Raw genomic sequence first — 24,647 nt, 5'->3', positions numbered from 1 at the left:
GGTATTAATCAGAGATACCATGGACACATTTATAAACAAAGATATTCATTTTAATGTCATTCTTAAACTTAAAAATGAAAACAAAATTTAAGAGTAAGATAATGAGGCATTGATTAGATACTCAAAGTGCATGTAGATGGTGGAAAACTAAGAATGCCAGCATATTAACAGTGGTTATCTCCGGGGTGTTGAGTAGGATATTTAGGGTTTTTTAAAAAATATTTCTTCTATTTTCAAAATTTCCTGCTATGAACACATAGTATTTTTATAATCAGATTAAAGGATAATATATATGAAAGGAGAAATAAAATAAACTAGAACTCATTCTTCTTGTGTTTTTCTACATTTTAGAGATGTTAAATTCATATTCATCCTACACAATTGCCCAGTAAAAAGCATTATTTCTTAATATATTAATGGAAAGTAATACATTTTAAAAATTCATTGAATGCTTCCATTTGCTATGCTGAGCATGTGAAGTAGACTAAGACACAACCATGACTTTGAGGAGACCAAAATCTGTTCGAAGACAAATTTTGAAATGAAGAATACAAATTAGTAAATGATTAAGTAGAAATAGATAAAGCTACAATTCATCCAATATTATTTAATCTATGTACCTGATATCATGCAATGAGGATTCCATTTCTGAGAAAAGTTCTAAGAAACAAAATAAATTCTATCTACATCTATTACATTTGCTATATCTATTATAAAAGCAATTATATTGACCTGACCCTATTTACTTACATGATAGTTTCTTATGTTGTTTTTGATTTTCTTAGTCAATTGATTTTTTTTCCTAGATTTTCTTCAGGTATTGAGAATCATCTGAGTGGAATTATTATTTTTTTCTTTCTTTTTATTAAAGATGAGCACATGTACTCATTTTTAATGCCCTTCCATGAGTACTAAAAAAGGGTGCTAGTAGTTCAGGAATGGCATCTGATTAGATCCTGAAAACTATGTGTCATATGATAAAAGTGTGAAAATTTGTATATATTAATTTATATTAATTTTTATGTATTACAATTTCTGGCTCTTTTTGTGTTTTCAGTCTTTCAGTAGTTTTTCCTCTGGTGCTTTGTCTTTACATCTTTTTGTTGCAACTATTTTGTGCTCTAGTCAACTCTTTGGATTTGATCTATGTGGAAACTGAAGCAAAATAGCTTTACATATTTCACACGCTGGATTTTTTTATGTCTTTCAGGTGAGCAGTAATATTTTAATGAGTAATATCTGACTAAATATCCTAAAAATTGTTAACTTTCTTTTTGTAGTTTTTTGCATTTCTTACATAGAAATTCCCTGTGTTTACATGGCATATTCTAGGGTGACATGTTTTTGCCCAGCAAGCCATTATATTGTGCTAATTGAATTTTTGAATTGTTTTTAATGTCACAGGGACAAAAGGGAGAACCAGGATTAGTGCCTGTTGTAAGTATATGTATAATCATTGTTTCCTTGTACCTTAAATAAACTTAGCTTATAGTATAATTGTATATTATTGCTTATGTACATACTTTCAAAAATAAATTAGTTATTTTAAAAACAAGTTTTTAGTATAACACAAGCAAACCAGAACAGATTAGTTATTTAATACAATATTTGATATTCTGTGTTCCTGACTTTTATAGTCCCATGACTAAAGGTAGAAAGTCATTGTTTTAAAAAGTTAAATATATTACATGTGGATATACACTGATAGTTAATATTAGTACTAGTTAGTATAGTAGTTTATTATTCCACACTTCTGGAAATACATCATGCCCTGATCCTGAGCAAAATTCCCTGTTGCATAAGAATTCCTAAGACTTCTTTAAACTTGTAAATGGATCAAGAAGTATGTTACTAAACAGGATTAAAGCTCTTCAACTGTCGTTCTGTCAGGTTTCATTATTTTTTATTTTTATTTTTTTGAAACAGAGTCTCGCTCTGTTACCCAGGCTGGAGTGCAGTGGCACAATCTCAGTTCACTGCAACCTCCACCTCCCAGATTCAAGTGATTCTTGTGCCTCAGCCTCCCGAGCAGCTGGGACTACAGGCAAGAGCCACCATGCCTGGCTAAATTTTGTATTTTTAGTAAAGACGGGGTTTCACCAGTTTGGCCGGGCTGGTCTTCAACTCCTGACCTCAAGTGATCCACCCACCTTGGCCTCATTCTCCTAAGTTTTAAAGGTGTTATCATCAGTCTGTCAAGACAAAAAGAATATGCATGTTGATTTATTTAGCAGTGTTTACATTCTCTATTTGCCTTTAATTGGCTTGTTTTTTTAACGAAGATTACCTAAAACTTAAATAATTCATATTGTTTTATTTAATTTTAAAAAGCATTTATGTGTGCTTACTATGTCTTAGGTGTTAAGTGCTTTACAAATACAAATATTTATTTATTTGTCTTCATAACTCTATGAGGGAGGTAATTACCTAATCATCACTACCATTTTACATTTAAGTTTCCACTTAAGATCCTTAAGAACAGAGAGGATAAGTAATTAGTCCAAAGTCACACATCTGGTAAAGGGTAGTGTCGGGATTTGAACCCAGGCCCCTTGGCTCCAGTGTTGGTGCTCTTTATCATTACGCCAGCACTGCCTCCCTATATTAGTTAAAACTAGATAATATCTTAAATCTTAAGGAGAGGAGGAAATGGTCATCAATTGACAACATCCATTTGTTAAAAAAATTACTGTGGTTTTTGTTGTTATTCTTATTTGTTACTATTGACCTCTCTGAATATCTGCAGAAACTTTACCTTTACAAATTTTCTTGTTTATTGTTTAGGTAACAGGCATACGTGGTCGTCCAGGACCGGCAGTAAGTAGTTTCTCCCAATATTCTTGGTACTCTTGTATTCCTTGAGATACTGAAAATCTTTACAGATATTATATCCATGAGAAGATAAAAGAATTAAACAATGATACTTGGTCTCTTAAAACATTTTGTCTTAAACCATCTTCAAGTTAGACATTGCTTTGCAGCAATGAATGGTAGATAAGGGATCATTTTATTCTGAAACTGAAGAAACATTATGTTAGTCTTGCTATTGGTTATGTAAAAGACAAAACACTTTATTGTTACATTTGTTAATTTTAGTGTGACTTTGTTCACTGAAATTAGGGCATACTTGTGTGTTGTTTGACTATGATTAATGGTAGGCTAGTTTTATCTGCTTAATAAAATTATATATTGCAGTAGAATTTGAGAAATCATACAGCAGGAGAGCATATTTATGGCTTAGTATAAAAGATTAATTTTTTCAAGTTTGGATTATCAGCAGTATTCATAACATATACACACACTTCATGTAAATGTTAAACACATCAAATCAGCTTAAAATACTAAGTTAGCTTTAATGGACTCACTCTGGTTCTTCTGAAGCCCTCACTTTTAAACGATGCTATATGTTGGGTTGAGTAAATACACAATATAATCTTCATAACTCAGTTTAAATCCTCTTTTAAAGAGAAACAAAGTCCCCCTGGCAACAGCCATTTCCCAGGGGGGGAAAAACATTTTAAGATATCAGCACAATAACACCACTTTTGAAATATAATAGTCATTTGTTATTTAAGGGAAAAGTAACTGTAATTAAGATTTGGAAATTTCTAAGTGGGTTTTAAACATACAAGGGAAGTAATGCAATATTCTAAGTAAAGTAAAAAGAAAAGATGCTTGAGTGTACATAAAGCAGTACTGTAGTAGGCTAAGAGGCTTTCCTTTCCATTGCTTTTATCAGCAACTTGAACAGTGATGAACATTTTGGGGTATCATGTACCAATTTGATTTCATACAGTCCCTGGAATAATTGATAATTTGTATTTTGCACATTTATGTAATTTTCAAAATCAGAATTGTAAGTTTTTGTGCTCAGAGTTTAGTGGCAAAGGCTTTACCTGGGAGAAGACAGCAAATATGATCCTTAAAAATTTGCAATTACTAGTCAAGCTAATCTATTTAGCTCACTATGCTCCATGATGCCATAATGTGCACCTAGTTCTTCATAGGTCTTTAAATGTCACTGATAACATAAACAACGCTTCTAAGCGTACAGAACTTTTATATGCACATGGCTTTATTCTCTATAGTCTTCAACTGAACTGAATTAAGTGTGGTATTTCTGTTTTCCAATTTTCTTTTATCAAGTAGACTTTTAAAAATTCAATAAGAAAGTATACATTTTTGCATGCATAATCATCATTTTCTGTTTTAGGGACCTCCAGGATCACAGGGACCAAGAGGAGAGCGAGGGCCAAAAGGAAGACCTGTAAGTTGACAGGAGGGCTCCTTGTGGGGAACGTACAGCCAGTCAGTTTACACTGTGTTCTCTGAATGCAGCAAGAAGCTGGGAGCACTATTCCTCTTTCACCTCCATTAAATTTTACAAAAATACAATAATAATTGTATATTATCTTATTAGATAACACAAATGATATTTCCTTGTCCCTTATGAGGTCAAATCAAAATAAAGTAGAACTTAAGGAAGCATAGTTAACATGTCATGAGTTTCACTCATGAGTAAGCAATGCCAAGAATGCACTGTTGAGATAAAACATCCAAGTTATATGATCTGTGGTTGCCACAGGAATAACCAAGCTGGATACGGGAAAAAATTGTTAGAGGATAAAATTTTCTTTCAAGTGGTTGCACAACAAGTTTATTTCCCAGGTAGCACTCCGCCTTTTTCACTCAGCAGCCACTGCAGAGATAGCAAAGGAGTAGTTTTAAAAATCAGCAATCCCATTACTAGACAAGTGAAATACCTTTACAATAAAATAGTGACCTCAATATCTTTGAGATAAAACATGAGGATATTATATAATATATACCAAAGGTTTTCTTTTATTACCTATCTGCACAGAATACATATTGTTCTCAAGTGTTAGAGTTACAACTTTTTTTTTCTTTTTTTTTTTTTTTTTGAGACGGAGTCTCGCTCTGTCACCCAGGCTGGAGTGCAGTGGTGTGATCTCGGCTCACTGCAAGCTCCGCCTCCCTGGTTCACGCCATTCTCCTGCCTCAGCCTCCCGAGTAGCTGGGACTACAGTTGCCCGCCACCATGCCCAGCTAATTTTTTGTATTTTTTAGTAGAGACGAGTTTTCACCGTGTTAGCCAGGATGTGATCCGCCCGCCTCGGCCTCCCTACAACGTTTTTTCTTATGTATCACTTCTAAAATCTAATGTCTTTCATATACTAAATAACTGTATTCATTTGTATATTGCTCCCATTATCCCATGTTTCAATTAGAAAATTTTGTTTGTACTGTTTAATTTTTTCTCTAATGTATCTATTAAAACTCTCAGTAGATTTTTATCCTTTTAAATATATATTTATCCATATTTAAATGGGAGGATTAGAAGATAAGCAAACAGCAGACAAGTTTGAATATATAAATGAGGATAAAATATATTTTAGATCATATGCCTAGGAACTCTTGCCACTAGTTTCATTCTTGTTACTACATTATCCTTCTACTCATTTCACCTCATATATAGTGTGATGTCAGTACTTTTTCTTAAACGGGGCTGCACTATGGATGTTACTTGCAGGCATGTAGGTGCAAAGCAGTGCCCCAAGAGATTGGCCATATCTTGGGGTGTGTCCAGATTATTATATGCCCCATTCTTCACTGTGGTTGTATTGAGTTTTCTCACTAGTGTTGGTAGCTTAAACACTGCTGTAGGTCTCCAGATGTCTCTCCTAGATCTAGAAAGACAGAAATAGGTAGAAAATAACATCAGTTGGGTGGAGGATGGGTGGTCGTGACAGAAAAAAAAAAAAAGATTTTGCATTGGTGTATTTGTACACTGTAAGTAATTGATAACATTGGGTCCTAAGTCTAGGTAGAAGTTGTTGTAGGACCAGACTTCCAGAGTTCCTGGTTAAGATCCAAAGAATCTACTCCCCAACCCTTCTCACTTATTTTCCCTATTTGACTTTGTGATGTGGTCAATTTCCTGTCTTGGTTAGGCCTGAGACAATCAATGTGAATTGGGTATAAGTGTGTGCGTGTTGTGTGTGTGTGTTTGTGTGTGTGTGTATGAAAGAGCGAGAGAGAGAGAGGGAGAAAGGGGGGTAGATTTTTAGGAGGAATCAAGTGAGACAACCCTGGCAGATATCCAAGTAGGAAATCTGTTCCTCTCTTAATCCTAGCAAAGAACTGGTGTGATGGTAAGTGTTTAACAAATCTTTTAATGCCTGCCTACACCGATTTCAAGATATGAAATGATGTATAGCTTTGCATGAAATGATGTATATGAAATGATGGGCATGATGTAACAGAATGCCCATAGGTAGAATGTTTTGCCTCATGTCTCAAGCCTTCTGGGAGCTGCTTAGCTGGACTAAAATTATGGCTGTCACAATATCATAAATAGCATTCCCCCACCCCCACCATTATATTACCATCAAACAGTACGGAAGGCTCACAATGTACAGCATGGTTTCTCACTGTTAACACTATTGATATGTTAGGCCAAATAATTCCATATGCATTGTAGGAAGTTTTGCGGCATTCCTGGTATCTACCCACTAGATGCCAGTTGAAACTGCCATCCCCCATACAATTGTGACAGTTAAAAATGTTTCTTGACATTGCCAAATCCAGGCAAAATAGCTCTGGACTGAGAACTAGTATGTCAGTAGTTCAGTATGAGATACTCCTACAAGACCTTCAGGATTAGCCAATGATTTTCATGACTGTCTCTCATCACACGTCCTCAGTTTTAAGTGTATTGTTCAGATAACTTCATAGTGACAAGCTAGCAAACTGTCAGGAGATGGACCGTCAATGATGTGCTAAGTTCTAGTTGCACATGACACTTAACCACTATTGGTATGTTTCTTGATCTGTAAAATGGGAAATATACTAGATCTTAACATCTATAACATTTATGTGTGTGTGTGTGTGTGTGTGTGTGTGTGTGTGTGTGTGTGTGTGTGTGTGTGTGTGTCAGAGAGAAAGAGAGAGAGAGAGAAACGAGAGAAATGAAGTTCTTTAACAGTTCCCGGTCATTCGTCTTTTCTACTTGTGGATGTTTAAACATCGCCACCTAGTGGCAACCTCAAAGTACTTTTTTATTGTAGATTACTGCGGAGGTATTTGAGTATCTTGGAAATGGAAGGGAATGATAATAAATGTAACATTTACCTTAATATAAGAATTATGTAATTCAGCTCACTTGGAGATATAAAAATAGATACTTTTAATGAGCTCCCAAATTCTAATTTGCTTTTGATATTTACCGGTAAACATTCTTGTGTTCACTTAATTTTAGATAATTTTTATAGACGTTTTTATTAATTTTAATCTTAATCTGTGCAACAGTAAATTTCATAAGCTATTTAGAGGGCATTCCGTGGAGACATATAATGAATCTGAAGTCAATGAAAACAATCTTAGGATCAGACTTTGAAATACGAAGTGTTAATTACAGAAGAATGGAGAAAGTCACAATCTCTTTGGAGGACTAATGAATATTTCTCAAACTTATCTCCACTCCTGTTGACAATAAATATAGTTTTGTGTATGTCTCTTTGGAACTCTCATTGGGAGCAGAGATTATGCATTAGTTCACTTTTTGTATGTAATAATATCTGGTTATTAATTAGCAACTGAGCATTGCAAGAACAGAATCAGAGTTTTCTACACAAGGCTGTATGAATAAACCAGACTATTATTTTGTCTGTGCTGTCATATACATATCCAGTTCATGTTACTCTCATTCATATGATCCAGGAGTCCTAGAGAACAATTGAAATCAGCCTCTGTTGTGTATAATGAAGTGTGAAGTAAATTGTTAGTAGTTTAGGAGTCAGAAAAGTTTTGATTTTTAAAAACTGAGAATAATTTTCTAAGATATCATTTTTAAATATAAGTTTTTCAGGCTAAGTATTCTACTTCTATTTAATAGATAAATTTGCTTGTTTGTCCCACTACTGCAAGAAGTAAATATGTCTATATAAATGTTTAAATATATTAAAATAATTAAATTTCTGAATAGCTATGATGCCACCCTCCCCAAAACCATCATATACAAACTGCCACCTCCACCACCTGAGCTTGTCCTGTGTTTGCTCCCTCTGCACTATCAGCTCCTATTTGAATTGCTTACTGTGGTCCCATAGGTATTCTCATGTTTAAGCATGGGAGTTCTTTTTTTAACTATTAAACTTCATTTACCATATTTCCCTTGATCCCTGCTTATAATTATAAAAAGCATATTGCCTGATGACTTTTTGGTCCTTTCTTTTTGAAGCCTTTCAAGATTCTTTAGGGTTAAGGAGCCAGAAAATACTTAACTAGCCTTGTGGGAATGATGAGGTTAGAGGACGGAGCATTTCCAGAACTGAGGACGTGGCTGTTCCCCAAGCTGCCTTCAGAATGTGGGTTAGGAGAAGGGTGGAATTTGGCAGCTAGAAATCATTGCTCACTTCTCTGAGAACTTAGACTTGGCTGGGTCACAGTGCCTTTGCCTCTAATTTCTCAATGGTCTAGTCTTCCTCTGGGGGTGGGAAGTAAAATAAAGTGTGCCAGGCTTTAAAGTATTAAAGAGGACTGAAAGGTAACAATATAATATGCATGTATTGAGTGTCTAGTATGTACCAGGAACTATGCAAAGCATTAAACAATTAGACAGAAAATCTCTACAAACTCCAATCAAGGGATTCTTGAATTTTGGGGGGAAGGGAGAAGTTAAGCAGACGTATACATAGTTAACTGTAATCCAATGACAATCCACTGTAATTTCAGTGACAGACAAGTGAATTTATAATTGTTGATCAAATACCCTTGCACGGCAAAAACTCAATCAAATAAGGAAGTTCACTTTAGAATACTGTTGAACTGAAAATTTTAAAAATAATTATTCTAAGAATGCTGATTTCTGGGTATTTAACACACCACATAAAATTCTTACCCAGACCACATCCGAATGGTAGAAGTTCAGACCTATGCTGAAATCAGTAGTGACATGGCTGATGAAATTACTCTAAGTGGCTAGATTGCCATGTATTTTTAAAATAATAAACACTCCCTTGCCATTAAGAAGTCTGTGCCTTTAGCTTTCTACTAAGTGTATATTTGGCAGTGGGTTCTAATTTTAACTGGCTTGTTTTCCAGGGCCCTCGTGGACCTCAGGGAATTGATGGAGAACCAGGTGTTCCTGGTCAACCTGGTGCTCCAGGACCTCCTGGACATCCGTCCCACCCAGGACCCGATGGCTTGAGCAGGGTGAGTTGTGTGCATTGTTTGATGTCACGTACAGGTCATGTTTTAAATTATTGATATATTGTTAGGATTTTAAATTGTGTCTGTTCAGATATTGACACTTGACTGTAAGAGCAGTTAAATAAGGTCAACACTGCTATGGACAGTAGAACTAATAAACCCACAGGGAATTGTTGGAAAAATTGGAAGAAGTATTTTCTAAAGTACTGCTTCAAATTGTTTGTATTTCTCAATGTCAGCTCTAGACTCTATGTGCTTTGTTTTTTCTATTGATTCTAAAGAACCACTGCTTTCCCCCTCTTTAAATGAAATGAGAGATTTATCTGTCCTATTCTCTAGGCTCAGAATGCCAAAAAAATCTGCTCCGTATCCTCCACAAGAGAGGATGACACATCCATGATGAGGGATATGAGAAGGCCATTGAGTTGACACTAAAAATGACACCTAATTATTTCTTCAATTTTAGTTTTTTTACTTGAAGTAAAGTCAAACAAAAAGCCTTTCAATACCGACTTCTTTGAATTGTTAATGTCAGACATAGGGGATTTATAAGTACAGGCAAACCATGGAGATATTGTGGGTTCAGTTCCAAACCACCTCAATAAAGTGAAATACTGCAGTAAAGTGAGTTATGTGAATTTTTTTTTGTTTCCCAGTGCATATAAACTTATGTTTTTCCACAATATAGTCTGTTATAAAGTGTGTAATAGCATTATGTCTAAAAAACAAGGTATATTTCTTTATTAAAAATACCTTATTGTTAAAAATTGCTAATAATCATCTGACCTTTCAGCAAGCCATAATCTTTTTGCTGATAGGGTGTTTTGCTTTGATGCTGATAGTTGCTGACTAATAAGGGTGGTATTGCTGAAGCCTGGAATTGCTATGGTAATTTAAAAAATAAGACAACAATGAAGTTTGCCATATCAAAATCCTTTGTTGTCATTTCAACAATCTTCACAGTATCTTCACCAGGAATAGACTGCATCTTGAGAAACGACTTTCTTTGCTCATTCATAAGAAGCAAGTCCTCATCTGTTAAAGTTTTATTATGAGATTACAGTAATTAAGCAACATCTTCAGGCTCTACTTATAATTCTAGTTCTGTTGCTATTGCCATCATATCTGCAATTACTTCCCCCAATGCAGTCTTCAGCCACTAAAATTCATTCATGAAGGTTGGAATCAACTTCTTCCAAACTTCTCTTGAGGCTTATATTTTCACCAATCAATTAAGAATGTTCTTAATGGCACCTAGAATGATAAATCCTTTCCAGAAGATTCTCAATTTACTTTGAACATTATATTCTTAAGTAATAAGATTTAAAAGTTGAAATTTATTTATATCCATGGGCTGCAAAATGGTTTTTGTATTAGCAGGCATGAAAACAACATTAATATCCTTGTATATCTCCATCAGAACTCTTATGTGACCTAGTGCATTGTCACTGAGCAGTAATATTTTGAAAGGAATCCTTTGTTTCTGAGCAATAGGTCTCAATAGTGGGCTTGAAATATTCAGTAAACAATGCTGTAAAGGCTGTAAACAGATGTGCTGTTATCCAGGCCTTGTTGTTCCATTTATAGGGTACAGGCAGAGTTGTTTTATCATAATTCCTAAGGATGCTAGGATTTCCATAATAAGAAATAAACACTGGTCTTAGCTTAAAGTCTCCAGCTGCATTAACCCCTAACAAGAGAATAAGCCTGTTCTTGGAAGCTTTGAAGCCAGGCATGGACTTTTTCTCTCTAAACATGAAAGTCCTAGATGGCATCTTCTTCCAACAGAAGGCTGTTTTGTGTACATTGAAAGTCTATTGTTGAGTGTAGCCACGTTCATCAATGATGCTAACTTGATCTTCTGGATAACTTGCTGCAGTGTCTACATCAGCATTTGCTGCTTCACTTTGCATTTTTATATTATGGAGATGGCTTCTTTCCTTTAACCTCATAAACCAACATTTTCTAGCTTCCAACTTTTCTTCTGCCACTTCCTTGCTTCTTTCAGCCTTCACAGAATTGAAGAGGGTTAGGGCCTTGCTCTAGATTCGATTTTGGGTAAGATAATGTTGTGGTTGGTTTGATCTTCTATCCAGACTACTAAACCTTTCTCCATATTAGCATTAAGGCTGTTTTACTTTCTTATTATTTGTGTGTTTACTGAAGTAGTGCTTCTAATTTTTTAAGAACTTTTCCTTTGCATTCATAAGTTGGATGACTGTTTGCTGCAAGAGGTCTAGCTTTGGCCTATCTTGGGTTTCAATATGCCTTCCTTACTAGACCATTTCTAGCTTACAATGTAAAGTGAGAGATGTGAGACTCTTTCTTTCACTTGAACATTTAGAGGCCATTGTTGGGTTATTAATTGACCTAATTTTAATGTTGTTGTGTCTCAGGGAATAAGGAGGCCCATGGAGAGGAAGAGAGATGGGGAACACCCGGTTGGTAGAACAACACACACAATATTTATTGATCAAGTTTATTGTCTTGTATGGGCATCATTCAAGGCACCTAAAACAACTACTTTAGTAACATCAAGATCACTGAACACAGATCATCATAACAGATATAATAAGAACAATAATAATATTAAAGTATTATGAGAACTACCAAAGTGTGACACAGAGACACAGAGTGAACACATGCTATTGCAAACATGGCACCGGTTGTCTTGCTTGGTGCAGGGTTGCCATAAGACTTGAATTTGTAATAAACATAATATTGGTAAAGCACAGTAAAATGAGGCATGCCTGTAGATTGAGACCTTAACAAGGAAACATATGAAGCCTGAATATGATTTTTGCTTTACAAAAGTTCATACACATTTTTCTCAACAGATTGTAGAATAAATTGCCAATTTATTTATAAACAGTACACACATTCTTTCCTAACAAAATTTGGAAACTAATGTGACTACTAAAATGTATATGAACAATTTTGGTCAGTTTGATTACTAGGGTTTTTTAATTGTGAAAGAGAGTAGGTCAAACTGTTTCCAAACTTGGAACATTCAGGGATTCATTAAAAGGACTATAAAAGTGTTATCAACTTACATAAATGTAATTTAAAGTTTACTGGGCATTGAACAAAGAAAGAATATCATCCAAAAACAGTCCAAAATGGAATCTGGAATCTTTAGGACAAATGTTTTAAAGGCATCTTTTAGGCTTTGTTTAGATGTTTGGCATCTCTAACTGTGGGAAGAAATCAGTTAAAGAGACTTAAACCTGCAATCAATTAGACTGGCTAGTGCTTATCAGAACAATCCATGCTTTTATCAAGTATCAGACATTTGCCCTGTTTCAGAAACTGCTCTGGAGCAACATACTTATACAATACTCTGGGAAAGAATGGTCAATAAAAAGCACAAACAATCAAAGCAACTTAAGTCTTTTTCCAGGCTTTAAAGTCAAGCACTTAGAATGATTCTCAGAAGAGTCATTCTATAAGAATTCTAGAGAGTGTACATTTATCCATATGAAAAGGACGTTGATGTATGTCTTTTACTGTAGAAATAATGTCAACATATCGCTTTTACAGCCGTTTTCAGCTCAAATGGCTGGGTTGGATGAAAAATCTGGACTTGGGAGTCAAGTAGGACTAATGCCTGGCTCTGTGGTAAGCATAAATTTTACTGATCATTGAAGTACTTCAGTGAAAAAAATTATTTTAAAAAGAGAATCTTGAGTTAACTAGTCAAAGAATAACATGCATCTTCTTAAACACAGTCGTACATTCATTCATTCATTCATTTAATTAACTTATTTACTCTACTGTATGCCAGTTAAAAGCCCAGTGTGTTTCATTCATAATTATGCAAAGTGCTGACATTAATAAAGGTCTATCTGTACATTTTATTTAATATTGGAAGAAAATAAAGGAGTTTAAGACATATAACCACAGCCACAATAGTAAAACCTAAACCTTTATAAATAAAAAGCAGAACTATTTTATGGTGCTCTTAGAAACAGTGGTTTGGTAAAATTTTGAAATGAGATGTTTTGCTATTTTCATTTTTATTATTTTCTACTTAATATCCTCTGGCTGCCTTATTCCAACAGCTCTATGGTTTCCTGGCTGAGTCTTCTCAATATTCTTACCCTCTTTTGAATTTCTTCAACATCAGAAAGACTCCCATTTTTTTCCTGGATATTTGGAGCAATCCAATTTTATTGAATAAATTAACACTTTTAAAACCAACTCTCCCATGTTTTATTGCTCATAGCATAGTTCAAAATAATTCCAGGTTAATAGCATTTCAGGCAATAAGAAGTGCAAAATCAGACCTCATAGATAACCACCCCTTCTATCCATCCTTAAGGCCAGCGTTGTGAGCATTTTAAATATTATTTGTATATTTTTAAAGTTACTAGTAATATGGCATCATTTAGTGATTCTTTTGGGAACTTTTTTTTGAGTTGCATGTTTTTATCCATTTGGAGTTTAAATTACATATGTGTGGTTTTTTTTAAATGGAGCTTTTCTTACTATATGTTCCATTCAAAATAAAAAATTAAAATCTTGCCATAAGAATAAATTTGATTTTGGCCAGGCACGGTGGCTCACGCCTGTTCTCCCAGCACTTTGGGAGGCCATGGCAGACGGATCACAAGGTCAGGAGATTGAGACCATTCTGGCTAACACGATGAAACCCTGTCCCTACTAAAAAAAAAAAAAAAAAAATACAAAACAATTAGCCGGGCATGGTGGCAGGTGCCTGTAGTCCCAGCTACTTGGGAGGCTGAGGCGTGAACCCGGGAGGTGGAGCTTGCAGTGAGCCCAGGTCGCGCCACTGCACTCCAGCCTGGGTGACAGAGGGAGACTCCGTCTAAAAAAAAATCCAAAAAGAATAAATTTGATTTTAATTTATTTTACTTTTTAAAGTATGATATTTAAAAAATAGTAATATACATATAATAATAAATGTTCTAAAATCGCATTTTTGTTTTCTTCCTTTTGTTATGCCTCAGTGGAACGATTTCATGTTTAAATGAGGAAAGCCTGTGTGGATAGTTTCAATCTATGTTGTGAAAGAAAGAAATCACCCAGGAAACTCAGTGCCCCAAATCGTTTTCAACTCACATTTAATATAATCTAGTCATTATTGTTGATGTTTCATAAACCTTTAATTCAACTTATTTAAGTTATAAGAATTATCTGCTGTGAATCTGAAGAATTAAATAGGAAGTTTGAGAACTAACTTATGTCAGCCAAGATTTTTCTTTATTCGGATGTTCTTACTTAACAGAACCATCCATTAAACATGCAAGTGTTCTTGTTCTAAAGACATTGGGTGTGTACAGACATATGGCTCATTTCTCTTTATAACACTGAAGTTATGTATAAAATCATCCCAAATGTTGTCCAAGCTTTAATCTCCTTGAATTTAGCTGCCTTCCAAATGAGTACAGATGGAGAATGTCATCATCCCCCTTTGTCAAAACTTCACTTTTCCAGATTCTAGAGATGATTCAACATTTTTGAAATATTTGACCTAATTGTCATGAGTACTTTGCAACGTTTCTCCTCATTTGTTTTTAAGGGTCCTGTTGGCCCAAGGGGACCACAGGGTTTACAAGGACAGCAAGTAAGTCTCTTTATAATTAATTACATGCTGTAAGAAAAACATACACACACACATATATTACATAAGGTCTCTGTGACATGACTGCTTTTGGCTGGTTTTAAAATTTTATATTGTAATGCTCACTTCAAACAGGATATATTAAATAGTTTTTATTTAGAAATATATGCCACATGTCTTTGCAAAGTTTATTGGGATAAATTTTTATCATCTGATTTCTTTATGTGACTGACCTTCGATAACAAAATTACATGACTTTGCATCTGAAGTAAGAAATTCATTATGTTATGTCATGAAAATGTTCACAATTGGTTATATGCCAACTCTGAAGCTATGAAATCAGATCATAGGAGGCAATCCCCGTGTAGTATTATTAGAAATAAGAATCAAGATGTTTGTTCCATGGGATCTTTAGGAAGAATATAATACAATATGCTTTTAAAATGCCTATCAGATGCCAGTAAAATAGTGATGTAGAACTATTTTTATTTATTATAGCAATTTAACAGGCATCAGGAAATAATATTTTAAAAGAAAGAATGAAAATAACCTTTAGTTCAGTCAAGGTTACCACATTGTCATTGTCATGTGTGTGGAGTTTTACTTCAAGCTATCAGTGACTAGAAAATGTGGTTGATGATGGTGATGATGATGATGTTGATGAGGAGAACTACCATTGATGGAGCACTCACACACTGTGCCAGCACTATTCTAGGTTCTTAACATACATTAATTACTTCAGCAGCCATAACAGCCTAATAAAGTAAGTACCAATATTATTCTGATTTTACACATTAGGAAACAGTTACAGACAGATTAAGTAACTTGCCCAAAGTCACACAGCTGGAAGATGGCAGAGCCAACTGTCTAAACAATTACACTGTATATTGACAGAGTACAGGGTTTAATATTCTATTTTTCCTTGGTTTGTATATATACTTTGTTTTCAACTGTAGGGTGGTGCAGGACCTACAGGACCTCCTGGTGAACCTGGTGATCCTGGACCAATGGTAAATGTCAAGTAAGCATGTAGACCCAGTTACATTTGGGTCCACCATTATAATGATGTCAAATATTGAGTTATTTATCTTCCCAGGTCCTCCCTAATGTAGGAAGAAATAACAATCCAGTTTGGGAGTCCTGTTCTATGAACTGTTCTTAAGCTATATGTTTCTCATAGCAGAATATTTAAATTCAAAGACTATTTAAATTTATTTATTTAAATTTAAATTTAAAAATTCAAAGAATATTTACATTCAAAGATTATGATCATTAGACAGTGCTGAGCGATTTGCTTTTGTGCAATTATACTTCTTGTTGAGCACATGATCTGGGGATGCAACATAAAATTCAAAACTTTAATAAAACTATTTTCTCTGTCTCAACAATATTTATCATTTTCATTTGTTTCAATAATAGTTTGACATTTCATTTGTCTCAATAATGTTTTGAATTGTATTACTGGCAAGTAAAGGTAAATATTCTTTTTTTCCTTTTGTTTTGTTCTGTTATTAGGGTCCGATTGGTTCACGTGGACCAGAGGGCCCTCCTGGTAAACCTGGGGAAGATGTAAGCTACCTTTCCTCATTTTCCATTCAGGTTTTGAAGAGGCGAAGGGGTTAAAATGTTAACAAGAATGTTCTGTATTAATTTCCATTACATTTCCCCACCCTTTTAGCTTGCATTAAATTCAATGTAAACAGGAGCACTCAGAATGGAATTTTACAAATATCTAAAAGGGCTCTTAATTTGCGTAGTATTATGTTATTAGGTACTACTGTCTCTTCCTGAATTCCCTGGGTTTTTGTTAAGATTTCTCCATTAGATGCTAGGCTTGTTGTCACAGTAGCAACAACTTTTCCTAGTGGAACCACTGAAATTACCTGAAAGAAAAAATATGTTGCTCTGATGGCAATACATCATTATGAGGTCTTATTTAAAAGGAATTTTTAAAACGTGTTAGTAGTATAGTGCCAATATGGCTCCCCAATGATGAAAAAATGATTTCTTCAATTGGATTTTTAATTAAAGTTAAGACCCAACTCCAGATTTTAACATTAAGAACATGTAATCAGAGAACAGTGTGCAATAGCAGACTTACATTTCTAGATTCTTAGTTGTACCAAAGTTGAGGATCAAATTATGGGTAGGCCATTAATTTCTATATGATACTAAACCAAGTATTAATAAATATTTTCTCTTTATGAGTCATAAGATTTATTTAAACAGGTTACATTGAATTTGGACATAGAGCACATATTTCTGATAGTCTTTTCTTTTTAACCACAGGAAAGAAATGGAAAGTAGTATTTTAAGAAGCAATACTTTAATTCAGTGTCATGTGATCATATAGAATTCTATAGTATATATCCTATAGCATACATGTATGTTTATGTGTATAAATTTTGATGTTCATAAAATAGTGAGCTACATCAGACCAAGAAAATTTTCAACAATTTATTCTTCTGGGTAAATTAATGAAAGCCACAGACTAACTTGATAGAATGGAGTACTATCAGGAATATAAGGAATAGAGCCTATTTTTACTTTATTTTTTGCACTGTTTAGAGAATTGTACATTAGCTTTCTAAAGAAGACTGTTTTATTAGTAATTTATTTATCATTTAGTTTCAGAGAAGAACCTTTTAATCACTTTTGCCTTCCCAATCTCCTACATTTTTTTCCATAAAGGGTGAACCTGGCAGAAATGGAAATCCTGGTGAAGTGGGATTTGCAGGATCTCCGGTAAGTTTATACTCAACATAAAGGCAAACTTTGAAAAATAAAGAACATTGAATTAAATCACAATTCTCTGTATGCACATGTATCAGGCACTAAGTAAATGGAGACAAACAGCATTGTTTGTTTCCGTAAAAATGTAAAATGTCACAGGACGTTTTGCCAGAGTGATTGTTAACTCCAGTTGTCTGCTTTGCATTGGCACCATAAATAAGCCTTCTGGAGCTAGAGAAGTATATTGAACATAACATGAATGCTCTCCAAACTGAGTTTCAAATCCTCAGAAAATTCAGAAAAAAATAGTTTTTTTTTTTTCATAAAATGAGTTACCAGCTTGACCTGTTTACAATTCACACTTCAATCCTATTTTAGCTCTTTAAAATCTTTTTAATATTTTTACTTTATATTGTCACATATGTCTAAATAATAGCTTGAAGAAAAGCTTGTTGCCTTGTTTTTTATCAACTAGAGACAGTAAATTATGGATGGGATGCTTCTTTGGCTGCTCCCCAAACCCTAATTTTGGCTGAAATTCTTGATTAATGTTCTGGGTCCTAAAATCATGACAATTTACACTGATTTCCAGCTCTCCTAACATAGCTGTTTTCTTCCCCTTTGGCTCCCTAAAAGAATAGACTCCTGGCAACTACTCCACCAGAATCCAAGACCTGGCCCCTTTGCCGTTCTCTGAACCCACCTGTCTCTTGTCACTCAAATTGCTTTGCTAGGCCCTCTTCTAGAATGTGTTACGCTGGCCATGGGGAAAATTAGAGTATGATAAGCAAGCAAAAGTCCTCTTCAAACATTCCTACTTCTTGGGTTTCTCCTGCTCAACAGCCCCTAAACATTCACTCTCCCATTTATTATATTTCCTATAATTTCCTTATGTTTCTGCCACTCAGTACAATCAACAGTACCACATTACTTTCTGTTTACTTTCTGAAAATTGATGAGGTTCAATGCTAGGAAATGTTTTAAACAAATGAATGCTCCCTTATCTTTTAAGGGAAATTTGCAAGGCTCAAAGGATTATTTGGTTGCAAATATAAACCAATTTCCCAACTCCCTGCTTTCTTTCCTCCTCGATCAGCCTGGGAAATAAATGCAGACAGAGACATGAGGTTTAGTCATTAGCACAGATGTCCTTTTCAACCCATCCAGGTTTGAACTTCCCATGTCCTGCTGCACTCTTGCTCATGCTCACAGTGTGGGCCCTCCATGGGGAGGAAGGGTGCCCTGCCAGCACACCACAGATGCACTGTGCAAGCTCAGTGCAATGTGTGATTGCACTGTAATGACAGTCCTGGGTCAGCAGAATGAGAATTTTTATGAGCATTAGGACATCTGGTTCATTTTCTTGTTACATTAGGGATATGTAATCACATGAGAATTTCTCTTGCAGACCATAAAAACTGAAGTTAACTAATTATTTGAAATAACATAGCTCAGCAATTCCCCTATAGGCTTAGACGGGTCTGCACTAAGTTGCCTGCTAAGGATGGAGAGGAGACAAATCTCTGTAAAATGAGGCATTAAGTTGAACACTTAAAGGGAGTTCTTGATGTGAAAGAATTCTTGAGCGGGGTTGTGTAAACAGAAGAATTAATGGGACTTCATTTGTTCAGAGAGCATGATTTGTTTTACCCCTACTGTGATAACCCTCTAAAACACTAAAGAAATAATTTTCTTTCAAGAGGTCACAGACGAATTATTGCTTTGATTTTGTTATATGAATTTCATCCATTGAGTTGCTTATTCAACCATTTAGAAATAGTGAATGAAACCTATGATTTGCAGAGCAGAAGGATTTTTTATCTGTATAAGATCATGCTAGGCCAAGAGAAATTCCTTAGGAAAGGTTAAAGTGCTATGAGAGTAAGAAATATCAAACCATTTCTTTATTTAGTTGTTTATCCAGTGATTATTCATTGAATGTCCATTAACCAAACATAAGGCTAAGTGCCAGCTATACATAAATTAAGAATAATAATCAATAAGTGATCACATCAATCAATGCTATCAAGGTGCTCAATATACTGGCGGCAGTGGTAATGGCAATTCAATGCAAAATCAAATTAATATAGGCCATAATAATAAGTAAATAATTAAGTCATTAGCTTAGTATCTTTTAAGACAGTATAAGGAAAAAGTTTCAAGCATCATTTCAAAATAGTTGTGCCACTGGATTTGATTTTCTATGGTATTTCTATTGTTTTTTATTTAATGTGTTTAGGTGAAAGCTACATAGAATTTGCAGAAATTAAGTAATTATTTAGTCAAGAAACCAAGCATTCTCATATTTCTTGACTTTCTTTTCTGTTGGATATTTTGTTTATTCATTTAGTTTTTTAAATAATCATAAATCCACAAAGTTTTTTTCTAAACAATTTATTTTAAAAATTCCTGACCACATTATAATACTGTTCTTCCCATCATATTCTGCTGCCAATATTCAGAAATTCATAGAAAATAAAGACATTGGTTTGCTACAAAGACATTTAATCGTGTACCATAAATAAAGCACAATAAAGAAGGAAAAGGATATTTTATCTTGAATTTCTCTCCTGAATATTTTTTTTCTACCTTGGTATAGTCAATTCTCATGTTGGACATATTGATTCATGCTTATGTTCTTGTTTTGTTTTCACTACTAATTATAACACAGTGATATCATGTGAAAAATTCAAAATGTCATGAACTCAATACCTGGCATTACTTTGTATCCTTGTATAAGTCATGTTTCCATTTCTAATAGCATATTTACTTTGCTAATTTTGATCACCCAGATATATTTTGACAGATAAAAGTATACTGCTTTTTTTTGTTCTTCTTAATATGTTGCTGGAAAACTGTGTACTAGCTATTTTTTGGGAAAAAATGATATATTAAGGAATTTTGCATCCTTATTAATGACTGTAAAATGCCCTATCTATGTTTTCCTCCCAGGGAGCTCGTGGATTTCCTGGGGCTCCTGGTCTTCCAGGTCTGAAGGGTCACCGAGTAAGTTCAATCTATTGTAATCCTCTCAGATACTGTGGTTTAGTGAACAGGCTCTGGGGAGATTTACCTTCAAAATCTTTACAAGTCAATTTGTCAATTGTCCTTAACTGTCTATGGTTGCAGTATTCATCTGTGGTTACTGAAATCACAATTTTTTAATACATTTCCTTTGAGTTTAATTTGATTTGATAAAGAAATATATTTTGAATTCTTACTATGTACTGGACACTATGCTACAAAAGAGGGTACAGTGATGAATGAGAAAAATCTCTAGCCTGAAGCTTCAGGCTAATGGGGGATACGGATGAAAAGGTAGGCAATTCCTGTATAGTGTAATAGGTGACATGGTAGAGATAGAGAGTACTAGGTCACAGAAGGGACCCAGTCTACCTAGACTTGGAAAGCAATAGAATGCCTTCCTTATTACTGAAGATAATTACGATGTAACTATTATATATTGTTTACATATGTAGAATCTATCATCTATCTAACTATCATAATATCAAATAGTGATATTCAATCAATATACACTGGCCTCTGTTTTGAGTAGTTGAGATTTTGATTAAGATGTCTGCTGCTATACTCATTATTAAGTATTTTGAACATTCACCTTGAATACAAATGATATTTTATAACAATATGAACTCTGTAGTTATGTGTTTCCTCTAAAGCCACTGTAAGGTTTTTATTTGTAGCTACAGATTAAATTTCTATGAAGTCACAAGTGTTTGAAGGGTGAGAACACTGCAAGCTGAAAATGTTATTTAAAGGTGAAAACTCTAATTTTCCTTGAATAAGCTTTCAGAAAAGTTTGAGAATTTGAAAGTATTTTGAGCAACAACTTTAAATTTGATATTCATTTTTATAAGGCAATTTCTGCAAGCTTATTTTTGGTTCTTATGCCTTTGAGGATTGAAAAAAACAGGATACAAATACAAATTTACATTTTTATTCTCAGGGACACAAAGGTCTTGAAGGCCCTAAAGGTGAAGTTGGAGCACCTGGTTCCAAGGTAATCTTATAATTATCTCACTGTAACCTCACTTTGGCATCTTAGTTTTGCTTCAAATGTTTACACATTTTTCAGAACCACCTTAATTCAGCAGGAGAGAGGGCTACAAACAAATGGTTAGGTAAATAAACATAATTTTTCAAAGATGAGTGGCAATGGCTTTACCATGACATGACTTGATATGCCTCCAAGAATAGCCTCCATAGCACTGGGTGTCTGCCAGTGTAGGATGAGTGTTGTCTTCATATGAAGATGGCACTATGAATCTATCTTTTAAAATACAATCATTCATTTTTCTTTTTAAAAAATATCTGAAAGGTTTAGATAGTTCATTAGTCCCATTATTGAGTACCCCTTTAATACCAAGACCTTCTCCTCATTGTTTCTTCTCAAAATTTATTTGTATTTCTACAGGGAGAAAAAACATCAAGGAAGTATAAAGGAATTTCTAGTGGAAAGCATCATGACCTAATGTGGAAAATCATTTGGCTTTAAAATTTTTTTTATTTCTAAGTCTCCTAGAATAGATCTTAAGATAGTGTTACAATCAATTTTAGCTTTGTAAAGTTTTACTTGAGACGTATCAGACATAGCCAGATAAGTCCTTTCCTGAGACTAGTTACTGTGGCTAGGTATGATAGTTTCCGTCAATCTTAAGTCCCCAATATTATTTTAGATGTATTTCTTTAAAACTACACTACTATTGCATTTTGAGAAGAGGTAATAAAACAACATTCTGAGATCCTATATCAAAAGTACATCTTTCATATGTCCTCTTTGAAAATATGCTTTTAAAATTACACACACAGAACAAAGTGATGTATCGGTTGTAGGCTTCTCATACTGTAATGTATTCTCATTTTTTTTTAGGGTGAAGCTGGCCCCACTGGTCCAATGGGTGCCATGGGTCCTCTGGTATGTGCTCGTTTTCTTGTTTCTTAAATTTCTAAGGTTATATTTCCTTGCCTTTTAGATTACAACAAGAGAATTTTTAAATGAAAAATAAAAATAAATGGACAACATATGTTGGCTAGTAAAATAATCTTGATTACCAGCTGATAGACAAGCACAGGAGAGTTGAGCCCTTCTAACAGAAAAGGTTTCCCACATTTCACTGTTTCTCTTAACGGTTGAATGCCCTTATTCTTTTTCTATACTCAGTGATCAAATCAAGATTATCGCAGATTTAGCCCATTAAAGCCAGGTTAAGTGAAATCTATTTATGTAAGAGGTGATAGGTTATTTATCTCCACATGGGGATAGTTTTTCAAACCCAACATTGCCCCTGGAAATACTACTGCTTGGTGGCCAATTATCTTGAATCTCAATTGGATTGAGTGGGGTAGTCAGACTACTCTACATTTCAAATTAGGTGCTTCAAGAGACATTTCTTCTCTATCGTCTATAGGGTCCGAGGGGAATGCCAGGAGAGAGAGGGAGACTTGGGCCACAGGGTGCTCCTGTAAGTATATCTGCTTTTACTTATACTGCTGAGATGTGTATTTCAATTCATTTTCAGATTTGGTTTACTGAACTTGCCTTTTAAATGAAAGTAATAGTACTGGTCACCTTTTTTTTTTTTCTTTTTCTTTTGGAATAAAGTCAGGTTTACAGAAAAGTTGAAAAGAAAGTACAGAGAATTCTTGAACAACCTTCCCTTTGCTTTAATGTTAACATATAGCCACAGTACATTTGTCATCTACTTTAATACAAAAATTAAGAAAATAATGAATACATATAACAGCATGGAATATAGTCCATAGAAAAACACAAACTTGGATATACTAATGAAATTACAATAATAGGAAACATTTATCAAGAGCTTATTATATGCCAAGAATTCTTCCAAGCATTTTATGTTCCTCATACTCCTAAAAGGTGGTTACTCTGAGTGCACTCTTTGAAAGATGTGAGCCTCCTGATCACCTGTCCTTGATTCATTTTAATTATACAGATTGAGAAATACTCTTGCAGACTATTTATGTAACTTGAACCTGTATAGGAGGCATATTCTAATTATTCTTTTCGCAATTCTCTGAAGATCAGGCTATGCTGACTAATATTTCAGACTTATAGTTCATTACTTTGGACCTACCTTGCTTTAGATAGTTAAGGACTGCCACCTTTCCTCTATTATTTCAAGATCCGATCATCCCCATTACTATTAGCAATAGCGGGTTTACACTGTCTCTGCTATTACCTCCAGCCCATAGAGGACAACCACCTCAGAGCTACTCAACAATACCAAATTCAGGGCCCTGATTTGGAAAGTGTAAGACCCTCTCACCAGGCCATTCTTTATCACTTTAGTAAGCAGAGTGTCCTAAGGGGATATAGAGAATATTATAGAATATAGTCAGCTATTGGCTTATCTAGGCTAACATCGTCTATCAATATAGTATGCTTACTTCTCTGTGCTTTCTTCTACTGTCTGCCAAGGGAGGTCTGACATTTCTGCCCCAGCATTGGCTATTGCTCTTCCCACATTTCTAAGAACTGTCTCCCATGTCAGCACTATTTCTCAGGGTTCTTACCAGGGTATTAAATTGCAATATCACGAGACAGTGTATCCACATCATTAAAATTTTCCAACTTTGTATTCTGTTTTTTTGATACAGTATCTTCAGGACCAAGACCCATACATTCTTTCTCAGATCCCGCCTCTACCCGATGTTTAGGTCTTATAGGTGCTTTGGTGTATGATATCTTTTTAAAAAATCAGGAGTAGTGTTAGTTATTGGTGTGGTGTCCAGAAGTGAGGCTTAAGTTGTCTTCCAAATTAGAGGCTTAGGTATCATCTTCAACAAGAGAGAACTACCAACTATTAATGGGGGGAATGGGCCACTTCTCTAGGCCAAGTGACTTTAGATGGACCTGAGATTTTAAATTTCTTTTTTTTCCTTTAAATTTTGAGGACAGGGTCTTACTCTGTTGCCCAGGCTACAGGGCAGTGGCACAATCATAGCTCACTGTAGCCTTGAACTCCTGGGCTCAAGCGATACTCTCACCCAAATAGCTGGGACTACAGGTGCATGCCACCGTTCCTGGCTAATTTTTTTTGTAGAGACAGGGTCTCACATT

The 24,647-nt window shown here is 34.6% G+C and overlaps 1 protein-coding gene across 4 annotated transcripts in view; it reads left to right on the top strand.

Annotated features, from left to right (window-relative positions):
• COL5A2 (collagen type V alpha 2 chain) overlaps window positions 1–24,647 on the top strand; it is a 409,214-nt gene that overhangs the window by 339,568 nt on the left and 44,999 nt on the right. For all 4 annotated transcript variants that reach the window (XM_047443252.1, XM_011510573.4, XM_047443251.1 and 1 more), the window contains 13 exons: window positions 1,405–1,437; window positions 2,785–2,817; window positions 4,214–4,267; window positions 9,124–9,234; window positions 12,772–12,849; window positions 14,774–14,818; window positions 15,772–15,825; window positions 16,331–16,384; window positions 17,507–17,560; window positions 20,501–20,554; window positions 21,513–21,566; window positions 22,437–22,481; window positions 22,975–23,028. In XM_047443252.1, the coding sequence (XP_047299208.1) occupies window positions 1,405–1,437; window positions 2,785–2,817; window positions 4,214–4,267; window positions 9,124–9,234; window positions 12,772–12,849; window positions 14,774–14,818; window positions 15,772–15,825; window positions 16,331–16,384; window positions 17,507–17,560; window positions 20,501–20,554; window positions 21,513–21,566; window positions 22,437–22,481; window positions 22,975–23,028 (723 nt within the window). The remainder of the gene's footprint in view (window positions 1–1,404; window positions 1,438–2,784; window positions 2,818–4,213; window positions 4,268–9,123; window positions 9,235–12,771; window positions 12,850–14,773; window positions 14,819–15,771; window positions 15,826–16,330; window positions 16,385–17,506; window positions 17,561–20,500; window positions 20,555–21,512; window positions 21,567–22,436; window positions 22,482–22,974; window positions 23,029–24,647) is intronic.

The sequence above is a fragment of the Homo sapiens genome, chromosome 2 (genome assembly GCF_000001405.40).
Source record: "Homo sapiens chromosome 2, GRCh38.p14 Primary Assembly".
NCBI classification, from domain to species: domain Eukaryota; kingdom Metazoa; phylum Chordata; class Mammalia; order Primates; family Hominidae; genus Homo; species Homo sapiens.
The sequence above is the reverse complement of the archived record's forward strand: the minus strand, read 5'-3'. Positions and strand labels throughout refer to the sequence as shown.